We start from the raw sequence: 14,681 nt of genomic DNA on the forward strand, positions 1-14,681 counted from the left end.
TTTCGTATTTTTAGTAGAGACGGGGTTTCACCACGTTGGCCAAGCTGGCCTCGAACTCCTGATCCCGGGTGATCCTCCCGCCCCGGCCTCCCAAAGTGCTGGAATTACAGGCGTGAGCCACTGCGCCCGGCCCTAGTATTAGGACTTTTAAGAAGTCACGTTTTTATGTAGTGAACATTCGATTTGGGTCGCAATTACACAGACATTGACGGGCAACTGGAGCCTCCCAGGGACTCCTGCACGAGAGGGAGTTACTGAAGTCCCTGCAGAGTGACTGTTTTCCCCTCGTCAGTGCCTCCTTTTCTTCAGGTCTCAAGGACGGGATGAGCTTGCCTTGGAAAGCTTTGTGGGAGTCTCGTATTTTACCTTCATAGCAAAAGTTGTTTCCCCACTTCTCTCCACCATTTCTTATTTCTTCCTGACAGTTGTTCTGGCACATCTCTTGATCGATTGTAGTATTTTCTTTCTTTCTTTTTGAGATGGAGTCTCGCTCTGTTGGCCAGGTTGGAGCGCAGTGGTGTGATCCTGACTGCAGCCACCGCCTCCCAGGTTCAAGTGATTTTCCTGCCTCAGCCTCCCGAGTAGCTGGGACTACAGGCATGCGCCACCAGGCCTGGCTAATTTTTGTATTTTCAGTAGAAGTGGAGTTTCACCATGTTGGCCAGACTGGTCTTGAACTCCTAATCTCAAGTGATTCACTTGCCTCAGCCTCCCAAAGTGTTAGGATTACAGGCATGAGCTACTGTGCCCAGCCAGATTGTAGTATTTTCGAGTGCAGGAGTCATGTCTTATTTGTATTTTTGGTCAACCATCTCTCAGGTTTGTTGAAGGAATTTGCTCTTTGGATTATATGAACTTTGTTCATGTTATTGACTTATGTGGAGAACTTTAGAATATATTATACACCATCCGTCTTCTGTTCTGTGGAGTGAGATTTATATTTTTAGAGAACAGATGACTTATCTAAAAACTGGGTGATGGTAATTGTTTGGTGATTGGAAGTAAAAAAAAAAAATCACATCGGGAAAGTGTGGTATTCAGTTCATTCTAGAAGATGTTGAGTGAGTGCCTGTCCTGTGCATCGGGTACTGTGTTACAAAAATGCATTAGATAAAATACCTGCCTCTTTGGAAGTCATTTTCAAGAGAGGTAAGTCGAGGCCGGGTGCGGTGGCTCTCGCCTGTAATCCCAGCACTTTGGGAGGCTGAGGCGGGCAAATCACGAGGTCAGGAGATCGAGACCATCCTGGCTAACACGGTGAAACCCCGTCTCTACTAAAAATACAGAAAAATTAGCCAGGCGTGGTGGCGGGCGCCTGTAGTCCCAGCTGCTGGGGAGGCTGAGGCAGGAGAATGGTGTGAACTGAACCCAGGAGGCAGAGCTTGCAGTGAACCGAGATCGCGCCACTGCACTCCAGCCTGGGCAACAGAGCAAGACTCCATCTCAAAAAAAAAAAAAAAAAAAAGTGGGGTAAGTCATATCTCGTATGACCATACTAGAAATAAAACATTGTTATCATGGAGGACACACATGGATTGGGAGAGGAGAAGAGTGTGGTTAGCTGTGGTAAGTTGGAGAGTCAGGGGGAACCTTATGAAGTAGGTAACCTTTGACTTGGTCCCCCTTCAGGATGTGCGAACGGCATTAGGTGCAGAAGAACGTAGAGAAGATCTTGTGTGGGCCCAGAGGGGAGACCGTGTGTGCCCCTCATAGTACTTGGCAGACTGTTGTGACCACCCGTTTACTTGTCTCACTTGTAGGCCCAGAGGGGAGACAGTGTGTGCCCCTTATAGTACTTGGCAGACTGTTGTGACCACCCATTTACTTGTCTCACTTGTAGGCCCAGAGGGGAGACTGGGCGTGCCCCTCATAGTACAATACTTGGCAGACTGTGTTGTGCCCACCTGTTTACTTCTGTCACTGGACCCTGAATTCCGTGAAGGAAGGGACAGTATCTTGTTCATTATCCTCAGCACCCAAGTATCCCTAACAACCTTTGTATGAAATAATATTGAGTTAATCAAATTGTTGAATTAATCAAAGTGTTCAAGAAAAAAGGTCAAGTAATATTGTGTGGCTAGATACATTGGATTTAGGAATCCTGGGGATCGGATCCTTATTAAAGAGAAGTGCTGACTCTTTGCACTGGGTAACTCATGCAAAAATCCTTCATCTCCTCAAATAGTTCCCTTCCATCTCTTTGGAAATTATAAACAGTGGATTTTAGTTTTACCTGTTATTTTATGTACTTTCAAAGTCAAGGGTATGCATAAACAAATGGGAGGATTGTTTCTTTTTCTCAACTATTCTAATTTATGGTTTGAATTCTCTGATTATTTAAGTTTCAAAGGTTCTTAGGTGTTTGGAAATTAAGATAGCATCAAGAAAGTATGGTGTAAAATTTATCTTTTTTTTTTTTTTTTTTTTTTTTGAGACGGAGTCTCGCTCTGTCGCCCAGGCTGGAGTGCAGTGGCGCGATCTCGGCTCACTGCAAGCTCCGCCTCCCGGGTTCACGCCATTCTCCTGCCTCAGCCTCCCGAGTAGCTGGGACTACAGGTGCCCGCTACCACGCCCGGCTAATTTTTTGTATTTTTAGTAGAGACGGGGTTTCACCGTGTTAGCCAGGATGGTCTCGATCTCCTGACCTCGTGATCCGCCCGCCTCAGCCTCCCAAAGTGCTGGGATTACAGGCGTGAGCCACCGCGCCCGGCCGGTGTAAAATTTATCTTAGCCATGTGTTTCAAGATGAACAAGGTTGTACATGAAACGTTTAGTAAATTTTTGTAATTTAAAATATGTAGTACTGTAAGATATTAGTGTTTTAAGAAGGTTTCAGGGCCGGGCGTGGTGGCTCACACCTGTAATCCCAGCACTTTGGGAGGCCGAGGCAGGTGGATCACGAGGTCAGGATATCAAGACCATCCTGGCTAACATGGTGAAACCCCATCTCTACTAAAAATGCAAAAAATTAGCCGGGTGTGGTGGCACGCGCCTGTAGTCCCAGCTACTCTGGAGGCTGAGGCAGGATAATGGCATGAACCTGGGAGGCGGAGCTTGCAGTGAGCCGAGATCGTGCCACTGCACTCCAGCCTGGGCGACAGAGCGAGACTCTGTCTCAAAAAAAAAAAAAAAAAGGAAGGTTTCAAATAAATGGCTCAAAAGTAGACCCTTTTGATGTAATTATGTTTTATTTTCTTTAATTGCAGGACTTCATAGACCTCACGTTGTCGAAGACTCAACGAAAGACTCCAACCGTTATTCATAAACATTACCAAATACATCGCATTAGACATTTTTACATGAGAAAAGTCAAATTTACTCAACAGAATTACCATGATAGACTTTCACAAATTCTAACAGATTTCCCCAAATTGGATGTAAGTGACTTAGGGGACTTCTGTGGTTATGTAAATACGGGCTTTCAGAGAACCAGTGTTTAACCAGTTTGGTGTACTCATTTGACAGAAAAGGAAACAAAATAATTGACTTAGGTTACTCAGTAAGTTAGTGGCAAAGAACTAATTTGTTGAATTTATAAAAGTGAGAACAGAATTTGGGTTTTTTGATTCCCTAGTATTCTTTCTTTCCTCCAACCAAAACCCATCTAAGGAGGCCCCAAGCTGTCTTCTCAGGCTTTCTGTGTAAACCCTGGGCTTGCAGGTGCCAACCCAAGTGTTAATGATAGCTGTGGGTTATGAACACAGAAGCTAGCAGCTCACTGGTTGTCTGGGCTTTATCTCTTCCACCTTCTTTCCAAGGGTTTTTTTTTTCCTCTGGGCTCAGCTTGGGTCAGTGGTGTAAGATCCACCACTGTTTGTGATCTTGTTGCTTCATCAGCTGATGACAGTCAGTTCAGCACTGACTGTTTTCTTCTTTGGCAAGGAGAGATCACATGGGAGCTATGACTTTTGAATGAAGCCAGAAACCTTGAGCTCCTTTCTCTGCTGCACATTGCAGTTTGCCTGTTTCTTTTTTTCTCTTTTTTTTGGAGACTGAGTCTCACTCTGTTGCCCAGGCTGGAGTGCAGTGGCGTGATCTCAGCCCGCTGAAATCTCTACCTCCTGGATTCAAGCAATTCTTGTGCTTCAGCCTCCCGCGTAGCTGGGATTACAGGTGCATAACCACGCCTAATTTTTGTATTTTTAGTAGAAATGGGGTTTCACCATGTTGGCCAGGCTGGTCTTGAACTCCTGACCTCAAATGATCTACCTGCCTCAGCCTCCCAAAGTGCTGGGATTACAGGCGTGAGCCACCACGCCTGGCCTGCCTGTTTCTTTAGCTGTAGAAAAGCAAGAGCAGAAACTGCCTGGCAAACTAACAAAGCCTTATGACACCATGTGTGGGGTAATGTGGTTGCAAGGTTAATTGAGGTTGTGAAGGGCGTGGGGATCAGCAGTATAGTCTCAAAGCCTAAATCTGCCGTTGCCCCAGAATAGTCCCTGAAGGCAGGTGTAGGCAGAGAGAAATGTTTGGCTTCTGTGACAGTACTTCATATTTAAACAAGTTATAATGGCTTTTTTTTTTTAAGCCAGAGTATCACAATCTCAGCTCCCTGCAACCTCCACCTCCCAGGTTCAAGCGATTCTCCTGCCTCAGCCTCCCAAGTAGCTGGGATTACAGGTGCCCGCCACCACGCCCGGCTAGTTTTGTATTTTTAGTAGAGACAGGGTTTCACCATGTTGGCCAGGCTTGTCTCGAACTCCTGACCTCAGGTGATCCGCCTGCCTTGGCCTCCCAAAGTGCTGGGATTACAGGTGTGAGCCACTGCACCTGTCCAATAATGGCTTATTTTTAAAATACAGAAGTGCTTAAAATACAAAAATTCTTGCTAGAGGACGGACACTTAGGTTGTGTCTAGCTAGGATTTGACACAGTTGCTCAGTAGATGTTTGTTGAATGAGTGAATGGTTTCTTGGGAAAGGTCAGGTACTAGAGAGTACCTGGGGGTGAAGAAAGTGATTTAAGAATGAGATTTTTGTTTGTTTGTTTGTTTGTTTGTTTGTTTTGAGACAGTCTTGCTCTGTTGCCCAGGCTGGAGTAAAATGGCGTGATCTCAGCTCACTGTAACCTCTTCCTCCCAGGTTCAAGCGATTCTCCCACCTCAGCCTCCCGAGTAGCTGGGATTACAGGCATGTGCGACTATACCCGGCTAATTTTTGTGTTTTTTTAGTAGAGACGAGGTTTCTCCATGTTGGCCAGGCTGGTCTCGAACTCCTGACCTCAGGTGATCCGCCTGCCTTGGCCTCCCAAAGTGCTGGGATTACAGACATAAGCCACAGTGCCTGGCCAAGAATGAGATTATTCTTAACTGATTTGATATTAGGAAATATTTGATTTTAGCCAACAACATACTTTGATCTACTTAGTATCAGATTTTTGTGGTTCTTTTTAAGAAGTTTTGTCTTTTTCATCCTCAGTGTTATAGCCATCAGAGGTAGGAGAGTTCAAATGTATTAACATTCTATTACTCTTTTTAAAGCCAGGACTAGTTATCTGAGAACAGCTTCAGAGTGGAGGGTTAGATATTAAGTTGTCATTCACTGAATGCTTATTGTCTGTCAGGTACTGTTCTGAGTCCTAGGAATCCAGAAGTGGTAAAGGTTCCTGCTCTCATTCTGGTGGAGAAAAGATAGTAAATAGCATGTCAGATGAATGCAGTGAAGCCATGGAAGGGAGTAGGGAGTATCTGTGCGGGGAGAGGGTGTCAGGCCTGTAGTCAAAGAAGCAGCAGGTGCAGGAGACCCAGGAGGTGGGGCAGGCTAGGGAGGTGAACACTGGGACATGGGATTGGAGGTGGTAGTCAAGGGTCGAGTTTATATGCACTGGTGAGATATCTCAGGAGATGCTGGCCTGGTGATTTAAAATGCATTAGTAAAATGTAGACGACATTTAAATCTATCTGAGATCACCTTGGAAGGGAATGTAGGAAGAAGGGTGCTGTGGGGAGCATGAATGTTTGGGGTAGAGCTGTGAGCACTAGCCAGCACAGGACTTAGAGGGGTCAGACTCTCCACCTAGAAGCTGTGAGGAAAATACCGCAGGCAGGATGCATGGCCAGCCCGCAGCGTTTCAAGAGGTCTGTGAGATAAAAACTGAGAATTGGTCATTGGGAGGTCCTTGGTGAGCTTGTAGGCTGTTTAGATGGAGTGGTGGACACAGAATTCTGGAGAGAGTGGGTTCAAGAGAGGGAGGAGAGGAGAGACACAGTGTGTCTTGGGAGCAAAGAGAGGGAATTGGAAGGATTTTGGGGCTATGGGAATTTTTGATTTTTTTTCCTAAAGATTGAGAAATAACAGCAAATTTTTAGGCTGATGGGAATAGTCAGGTGGAGGGAAGAATTTCTAGTGCTGAGTTCCTGAGCAACAGGAAGGGTACATGCAGGGTCGGGGGCTGGTCATTGCTGGGTCCCACAGCTCTACCACTGCACTGAGAGCGAGGTGGGTGGGAGCCGTGACTGTCGGCACCCGCATCCCTTCTGATGCCTGTTTTCTCAGAGGACTAAATAGACAGGGCCCCTGGCCAGGAGAGGGAACTGGGGAGGAGACACTGCAGGCGTGGAGGGAGAGGGAAAGAAATTGTTCTTCAAGTGGTAGGGATGAAAAACTGCTGGCCCCAAGTGACCGTGGTGTGCTTTTGTTTGTTACAGGATATTCATCCGTTCTATGCTGATTTGATGAATATTCTCTACGACAAGGATCATTACAAGTTGGCTCTGGGGCAAATAAATATTGCCAAAAATTTAGTGGACAAGTAAGGTACTTTTTTCTGTAGTGTCTTTTAAGTTATCGAAAGTGGAAAAAATAATATTTTTTATTTTTTACAGTGTTGCTAAAGATTATGTGCGACTGATGAAGTATGGCGACTCTCTCTACCGCTGCAAACAGCTGAAGCGTGCGGCCCTGGGACGGATGTGCACAGTGATCAAGAGGCAGAAGCAGAGTTTGGAGTATTTGGAGCAAGGTGCTTGTCACGCATCCGCGGGAACCGTGCTAGCATCCTGCTGAGAGGATGCGTCCTTGTTGAGGACTTGAGATGTCTGTTTTTCTTGTATTTTGGAGATGACAGGGTCAGTTATTCTTCCTAGCTTTACCTATGAGAAACAGTAATAGGCTGGTTTTTATTGAAAATAAATACTTACAAATCAATAGCACTGATAAGAAAATTTATATATTTCATATTTAATAGGTAAGGCATACACAAAAAAGTCACGAGAAAATACTGAAAAGTATAAAAACTAAGGTGGCTCATAGTTTATTATTGACTTTTTTATTTTTAAAAACACTTGTATTTAATAGGACTTTCTGAATTAATGTACTAGGATTCTGTTGAAACAATTACTTGCTTATTGTGTGTATTCTTACATGACAAATTATTTTGACTCATTCGGTTTTGTTTTCTCTCCTGCATCTTAGAAATAATTTTTAACAAAATTTGTGATACTTGGATGCCTTGCAGGTGCTTTGCTACAGATCTGTGTGGTCTTCATGATGGCCGGGGTGCCACCCTGGAGCCGTGTTTGTTACAGACGAGGTGGCAGAGTGGCAGTAACCCATGTTGTAGCCCAAACGGCATGGCCTGCAGGCTTCAAAGTGCACTGGTTCCCTAATGTCATCTTGCTAATGAGAATTGTCTGGACACTGCCAGACATGCTGTTGGCCCCACCTGTCACCTAATGAATTAAAACGTGGGCTTAGAAGGGCTGAGGAATATGATTCTTACCAGAGCCAAACTTGGGAGATAGCAATTGAATATACTATGTGTATACTATTACTTTCTGCAACTATTTTCTCCATCACTTTTGCATTACAAAAGTTGGAGTAAGATGAATATCACCATAGGCCTGGACTGTAACTAAGTTGAAAAGAAAATTTAAAGCAAATCTTAAACTTTGAATTTCTTAATTTTTCAATTTGAACTTTTCCTAGTGCGTCAGCATTTATCCCGTTTGCCAACCATTGATCCGAATACCAGGACCCTGCTTTTGTGTGGGTACCCAAATGTTGGGAAGTCCAGCTTCATCAACAAGGTTGGTCTGGTTTTTATCGTAAAGCAAATCATCTGACTATTTTACGTCAGTGTTACTGTATTCTGGCGGCGTGGGATTCAGGATGGCCTTGTAGGTCAGTGTTAACTGTATTCTGACTGCGTGGGATTCAGGACGGCCTTGGTAATAATTTCGGCCTCCGAGTTGGTCCTTGAGTAAAACACTGCCCTGGTCTGCAGGAGTTCCCGGTGCCTGAGCACGCCGAGCTCCTCTTGGTGAGGATTTACTTTGTCTGTATCTACATTTATATTACTATTACAGAAGCCATTACTTTTTGTTCTTGTGTGTGTCCTATAATTTCTAAGGAATTTGAGACATGTAAGTGCATTTTTGTTGACAACTGGGGAGGTTTTCTTGGGTGTTGTTGGCCTGTCCTGGAGTGGCTATGCCAGCGGGGCTCCGGTGGCAGGTGACACTCACCCAGCTGGGGTCTTCCCGTCTGCAGCTGCATCTGAGTGATCTGTTACCTTGGTTGCTGTGTCAGCTTTCACATGAAATCGTATGTGGTCTAGTAGAGGGACGGTGCCGAGTCGCTCTTTCCCTGGGTGAGCTCACTGACTAGGATAAGTGTAACATTTAAGGGACTCGGTCATTTGTTGCTTCAGGAAAGTTTGGCTGAGTTTCAGGGACTCAGGAAGAGGCAAAGCAACATTTAAAATGTGAATTTACAACCAGCAACAGCTCATGTGCCAAGAAAATGGTCAAATTTTATGGCTTACTCAGTGCCAAGATCACTTTATTTTTAATTAAAAAAATTTTTTTCTTTCTTTTTGTTGAAACTTTTTCTTTTTGAGACAGGGTCTCGCTCTGTTGCCCAGGCTGAAGTGCAGTGGTGCAGACATGGCTCGCTGCAGCCTCAACCTTCCGGGCCCAAACAGTCCTCCCACCTCAGCCACCCAAGTAGCTGGGACCACAGGTGCACGCCACCGCACCTGTTTAATTTTTTTATTTTTTGTGGAGATGGAGTCTCACTGTGTTCCCCAGGCTGATCTCAAACTCCCGAGCTCAAGCCATCCTCCTGCCTCAGCCTCCTGAAGTGCTGGGATTACAGGCATGAATCACTCCACCCTACCTTAAGATCACTTTTGCTTTGAAATAGATTTGTGAGTTTTATTTTGTCTACAGGTTGCTGTGACATGGTGACCAGCAAAGCTCTGCAGGGTCCTTGCTGATTTTTCAAATGCTTGTCAGCTCTGAACCTGCCCTGAGCTCTGAGCCAGTGCTCTGTGGCCGATTTGGTGGCCACTGCACTGGGTGGCTTTTTAAATTGCAGTTTAATTCAGCAAAATGAAAATTTCAACTCCTCAGTCACATGAGCCACATACTGAAAGTTCATTAGCAGTGCATGACTGGTGGCCCGGTTTGGACAGTGCAGACAGAACATGCCTGTCATCATAAAGAGCTCTGCGGGCATTGCAGGCGGTGGGGCAGGACTTGGGAGGGTGAGGGGAGGTGGTGGCTGTCCTCCAAATGCCAGCCCTCACGCTGTCCTAGTACCCCAGTCCTTGGCCTGGTGGTGCAAAGGGAGAGGTACCAGGCTCCTATTCGATGCAGTTTTATCGTGTGAGGTTTCTTCTATGGTTATTTCCTACCCAAAATCAGTCTTGTTAAAACACACAGATCCCACGTGTACACAGAGGAAATGAGGTGATTCTGAAAGTTCTCACTTGTTCCAGGTGACGAGAGCAGACGTGGATGTCCAGCCCTATGCGTTCACAACCAAGTCTCTGTTTGTTGGGCACATGGATTATAAGTATCTACGTTGGCAGGTGAGAGTCTTGTCTTTATTTTTATTCATTTATTTATTTTGAGTTGGAGTTTCACTCTTGTTGCCCAGGCTGGAGTGCAGTGGCATGATCTCAGTCCACTGCAACCTTCACCTCCCAGGTTCAAGTGATTCTCCTGCCTCAGCCTTTCGAGTAGCAGGGATTACAGGTGCACACCACCACGACCGGCCAATTTTTGTGTTTTTTTAGTAGAGAGGGGGTTTCACCATGTTGGCCAGGCTGGTCTTGAACTCCTGACTTCAGGTGATCTGCCCGCCTTGGCCTCCCAAAGTGCTAGGATTACAGGTGTGAGTCACACTGCACCTGGCAAGAGTCTTGTCTTTAAACAGAACAAATATCTTGGTTTATCAAGAACTTGAAATTTCTCCATCATCATAAAGAAAACTCATCTGAGCTCTTGGGATGCATAAGAACAGGTCGCATGTCTCTGATATAATTCAGGGGAGGCAGCCAGCTGCCAGTGTGGATTTCTGCATTTTCTTAACATAAAATGAAATTATCTTTGTGTCATTTCTAACTCTGTTATCAGAAATGGCATATATACAGTTTAAAAGCGTGAAGCAGGCTGGGCACAGTGATTCACGCCTGTAATCCCAACACTTTGGGAGGCCAAGGCAGGCAGCTAACCTGAGGTCAGAAGTTCGAGATTGGCCTGGCCAACATGGCGAAACCCCATCTCTACTAAAAATACAAAAATTAGCTGGACGTGGTGGTGGGTGCCTGTAATCCCAGCTACTTGGAAGGCTGAGGCTGGAGAATCGCTTGAACCCAGAAGACAGGGGTTGCAGTGAGCCGAGATTGTGCCATTGCACTCCAGCCTGGGCGACAGGAGCGAAACTCTGTCTCAAAAAAAATAAATAAATACAAAGCAAGAAGCAATGTTTCCACACTCTAATTTTGTAAATTGTGAAGAAAGTAATTCCTAAGACATGGGAGGGTTCTCAGTTATCCCAGTTTTTGTGTTTTATGATGTCGCTGGTAAAAAGAGGAGTCATTTCTCTCAACATCATGGCTAGCATTTCTTTGAGCTCTACAGGGTTCCTCCTCCCTTTTTTGATGTTTAAATAGTATGTACTTTTCTGTCACTGGTTTATTTTGTGGTATTCAGTTTGGGAGACCTACTTTTTTTTTTTTTTTTTTTTTTTTGAGATGGAGTCTCTGTCACCCAGGCTGGAGTGCAGTGTCGCTATCTTGGCTCACTGCAAGCTCCGCCTCCCTGGTTCACGCCATTCTCCTACCTCAGCCTCCCGAGTAGCTGGGACTACAGGTGCCCGCCACCACGCCCAGCTAATTTTTTGTACTTTTAGTAGAGATGGGGTTTTGCCGTGTGAGCCAGGATGGTCTCGATCTCCTGACCTCGTGATCCACCCGCCTCGGCCTCCCAGAGTGCTGGGATTACAGGTGTGAGCCACCGCACCCAGCCCTACTTTTTTTTTTTTTTAACTACAATTCTGCTGTAAGATTATTAGGTCTGGTTGGGTGTGTGTGAGTGACTTCTGGGATGTGCTGGACAAGAAGCTTGTGGGTGAGTGTGCTTTCAGTGACAAGGTCTGGCTGTGTTAGGTTGTAGACACTCCTGGGATCCTGGACCACCCTCTGGAGGATAGGAACACCATCGAGATGCAGGCCATCACTGCCCTGGCCCACCTCCGTGCTGCGGTCCTGTATGTGATGGATTTGTCTGAGCAGTGTGGGCATGGGCTGAGGGAGCAGCTAGAACTCTTCCAGAACATCAGACCTCTCTTCATCAACAAGGTGTGTGTGGTCACTCATGTTTTGCTTCATATCCTGCAGTACGAGAATAATGATTTCATTATTTTTCTTCCTTGCCTAGCCTCTCATAGTTGTAGCCAACAAATGTGATGTGAAGAGAATAGCTGAACTTTCTGAAGATGATCAGGTAAATCACGTTAATATTTTGAATATTTCTTACTTACCAATTCTGAATTCTCATCTCAGACAACCAAAGTTTAGATGAAGGAATTTTAGCAATACTAGTCCACAATTGTATTTTATAGTTGAGATAATATCCTCAGTGGTTTAGTGAAAAGACATAATAAAAACTTAGTTATTGGCAAACTAAAACGAAAACATAAGTTTCTGGATTCTTTGTTCTTGAGTGTGTGGAAGCATCTGTATTTGATGGGTTGGACTTTTGGAAAATGTGATTACTTAGGAGAGAACTGTTGGAGAAGGGTGCTCACAGGTGTTACTTCATAAAACAGGTTCTGTGATTAAATGAGTTTGGAGACTAATGATTGAGTGAAGGAGAAGGAGGATCTTGGAATTTGGGCTTTCTGGATCTGGATCTATGAGTGAGACGTGCCTGCTAGCTTTCTCCAAGAGGCAGGCAGTATTGTTGGACATAATTTTTCAAACTGATTGAATCCTACAACCTTTTTAATAGGCATCCTTCATGATAAATGCTTTTAGAAGCGTGCACTGGTGGAGTGGCTTTCAAATTGTGGTCCTGGCCCAGCAATGTCAGCATCACCTTCTTAATTTCTTCCTTAATTTCCTCATTGATCCATTGGTCATTCTGGGACATGTTTATAATTCTCATGGGTGGTTTTTTTTTTTTTTTTTACAGTTTTGAAAGTATCTCTTGGTATTGATTTCTAGTTTTATTCCACTGTGGTCTGAAAAGATACTTGGCAATTTTTAAAAATTGATGAGATTTGTTTTGTGGCCTAACATATGGTCTATCCTGGAGAATGTTTCATGGACTGAGGAGAGGAATGTGTTTTATGCAGCGGTTGGATGACATGTTCTGTAGATGTTTGGTCTACAGTGCACTTTTTTTTTTATTTTATTTTTGTTTTTTTTTTGAGATGGAGTCTCGCTCTGTCACTGAGGCTGGAGTGCAGTGGCACGGTCTCGGCTCAGTGCAGCCTCCACCTCTGAGGTTCAAGTGATTCTCCTGCCTCAGCCTCCTGAGTAGCTGGGATTACAGGCGTGCGCCACCACACCGAGCTAATTTTTTGTATTTTTAGTAGAGAGGGTTTTACCATACCGGCCAGGCTGGTCTTGAATTTATGACCTCAAGTGATCCGCCCACCTTGGCCTCCCAGAGTGTTGGGATTATAGGCGTGAGCCACTGCGCCTGGCCTACAGTGCACTTTAAATCCAGTATTTGTTGATTCTTTTTTGCCTAGGATCTGTCTAATGTTGCGAGTCTGATGTTGATGTCCCCAAATATTATTGACCCCTTTTATTATTATATAATGACCTTCTTGTCTCTTTTTATTGTTTTTGACTTAAAATCTGCTTTATCTGATAGAAGTATAGCTATTCCTACTTGCTTTTAGTTTCCATCTGCGTAGAATATCTTTTTGCATCTCTTCATTTTCAGTCTATGTGTGTCTTAATGTCTTTACAGGTTAAGTGAATTTCTTGGATACTTTTTCATGTTTTCATGATAGTGATTATTGTCTTCGCTTCCAGATGTAGGACTTTCTTAAGTATATCTTGTAAGGCTGGTCTAGTAGTGACGAATTCTCTGTTTTTGCTTTTCTCGGAAAGAATTTATTTCTCCCTTATTTCTGAAGGATAGCTTTGCTGGATGTAATATAGTTGGCTGGCAGTCTTCTTTTTTTTCTTCAACACTTTGAATATATATCATCCCATTGTCTCCTGGCGTGCAAGGTTTCTGCAAAGAAATCTGCTGTTAGTCTAATGGGGATTTTCTTATATGTGACTTCAAGCTTTTCTCTAGCTGTTTTTAGAATTTCCTTTATATTTGACTTTTGACAGTTTGACTATAATGTGCCTTGGGGAAGACCTTTCTGGGCTGACTCTATTTGGGAATTCTTGAACTTCCTGGTTTTAGATGTCTATACCTCTCCCCAGTCTTGGAAAGTTTTCAGCTATCTCATTAAATAGGTTACTAAGCCTTTTCCCTTCTCTTCTCCTTCTTGAACTCCCATAATGCCAGCATGTATTCACTTAATGTTGTCCCATAAATCTTATAGGCTTCCTTCATTCTTTTTCGTTCTTCCTGCTTTTTTTCTCTCTGACTAGGTAGTTTCAAATGACAGAGATTTTTTTTCTGCTTCATCCAGTGTGCTGTTAAAACTGTCTATTGTATTATCTCATCCATTGAATTCTTCAGCTACAGGATTTCTGTTTGACTCTTTTTTACAATTTCTGTCTCAGTTTAAGTTCTTGTTCATATCATGAAATTGTTTTCTTGATTTTGTTGAATTATCTATCTGTATTTTGTTTCTCATTGAGTTTCCTTCAAAAAAATTATTATTTTGAATTCTCTTTCTGGCAATTCATTGATTTCCTTTTCATTAGAGTCTGTTCCTAGAGAGTTAATATTCCTTTCATGATTTCTTATTTCCTTGCTTTTTCATGTTTCTTGTGTCCCTGCATTGATGTCTCTGCATCTGGTAGAACAGGAGCCTCTTTTATACTTTCTTCTAGAGTGGCTTTCATGGAGAGGTTTTCACCTCACTTGGGTTTTACTGTGCCATTTGGGAAGAGAACCGTGACTTTCTGGATAGGAGCAGTGACATTGTTTCTGTGCAGCTTCCTCACCTCCATGAAATGTTGGCAATAACTGGGTGGCTCAGTGGCCTCAGCTCTGGAAGTTTGTGCCAGCGGTGGTGTATGTTTTTAAGGTCCTTGGTGTCAGGGGCTTTTGGGGTCCTGCTATTCTTGTTTTTCCCGCAATGGGGGACTTATCTGAGGGGATCTTTCTTGGTGTCAGGTCTGACATGGTCTGCAAGCAGCTGCCACAGTGCTGGGTTTCAGCTACAGGTACTCAGGGTAGCTGTGGGACTGGGGTCCTAGCCTTAGGGTCTTGTGTGCCTATCATGGCCTGGCCTTGGGGTGCAGGTTTACTC

General features: G+C 44.2%; 1 protein-coding gene across 2 annotated transcripts in view, besides 1 other annotated feature; it reads left to right on the forward strand.

Moving 5' to 3' along the window:
* GTPBP4 (GTP binding protein 4) overlaps positions 1-14,681 on the forward strand; it is a 31,499-nt gene that overhangs the window by 849 nt on the left and 15,969 nt on the right. For both annotated transcript variants that reach the window (XM_047424932.1, NM_012341.3), the window contains exons 2-8: positions 3,207-3,377; positions 6,647-6,750; positions 6,824-6,960; positions 7,926-8,026; positions 9,721-9,813; positions 11,395-11,586; positions 11,666-11,731. In XM_047424932.1, coding sequence (XP_047280888.1) covers positions 3,300-3,377; positions 6,647-6,750; positions 6,824-6,960; positions 7,926-8,026; positions 9,721-9,813; positions 11,395-11,586; positions 11,666-11,731 — 771 coding nt within the window. In that variant the 5' untranslated portion in view covers positions 3,207-3,299. The remainder of the gene's footprint in view (positions 1-3,206; positions 3,378-6,646; positions 6,751-6,823; positions 6,961-7,925; positions 8,027-9,720; positions 9,814-11,394; positions 11,587-11,665; positions 11,732-14,681) is intronic.
* Positions 899-1,794: an enhancer, noted in NCBI's record as "H3K4me1 hESC enhancer chr10:1036121-1037016 (GRCh37/hg19 assembly coordinates)". NCBI's record gives its function as "activates a minimal SCP1, AML or CMV promoter by ChIP-STARR-seq in primed H9 embryonic stem cells {active_cell/tissue: H9 hESC(primed)}" and the evidence as "EXISTENCE:reporter gene assay evidence [ECO:0000049][PMID:30033119]".

This window comes from Homo sapiens, chromosome 10 (genome assembly GCF_000001405.40).
Source record: "Homo sapiens chromosome 10, GRCh38.p14 Primary Assembly".
Taxonomy (NCBI): Eukaryota; Metazoa; Chordata; class Mammalia; order Primates; family Hominidae; genus Homo; species Homo sapiens.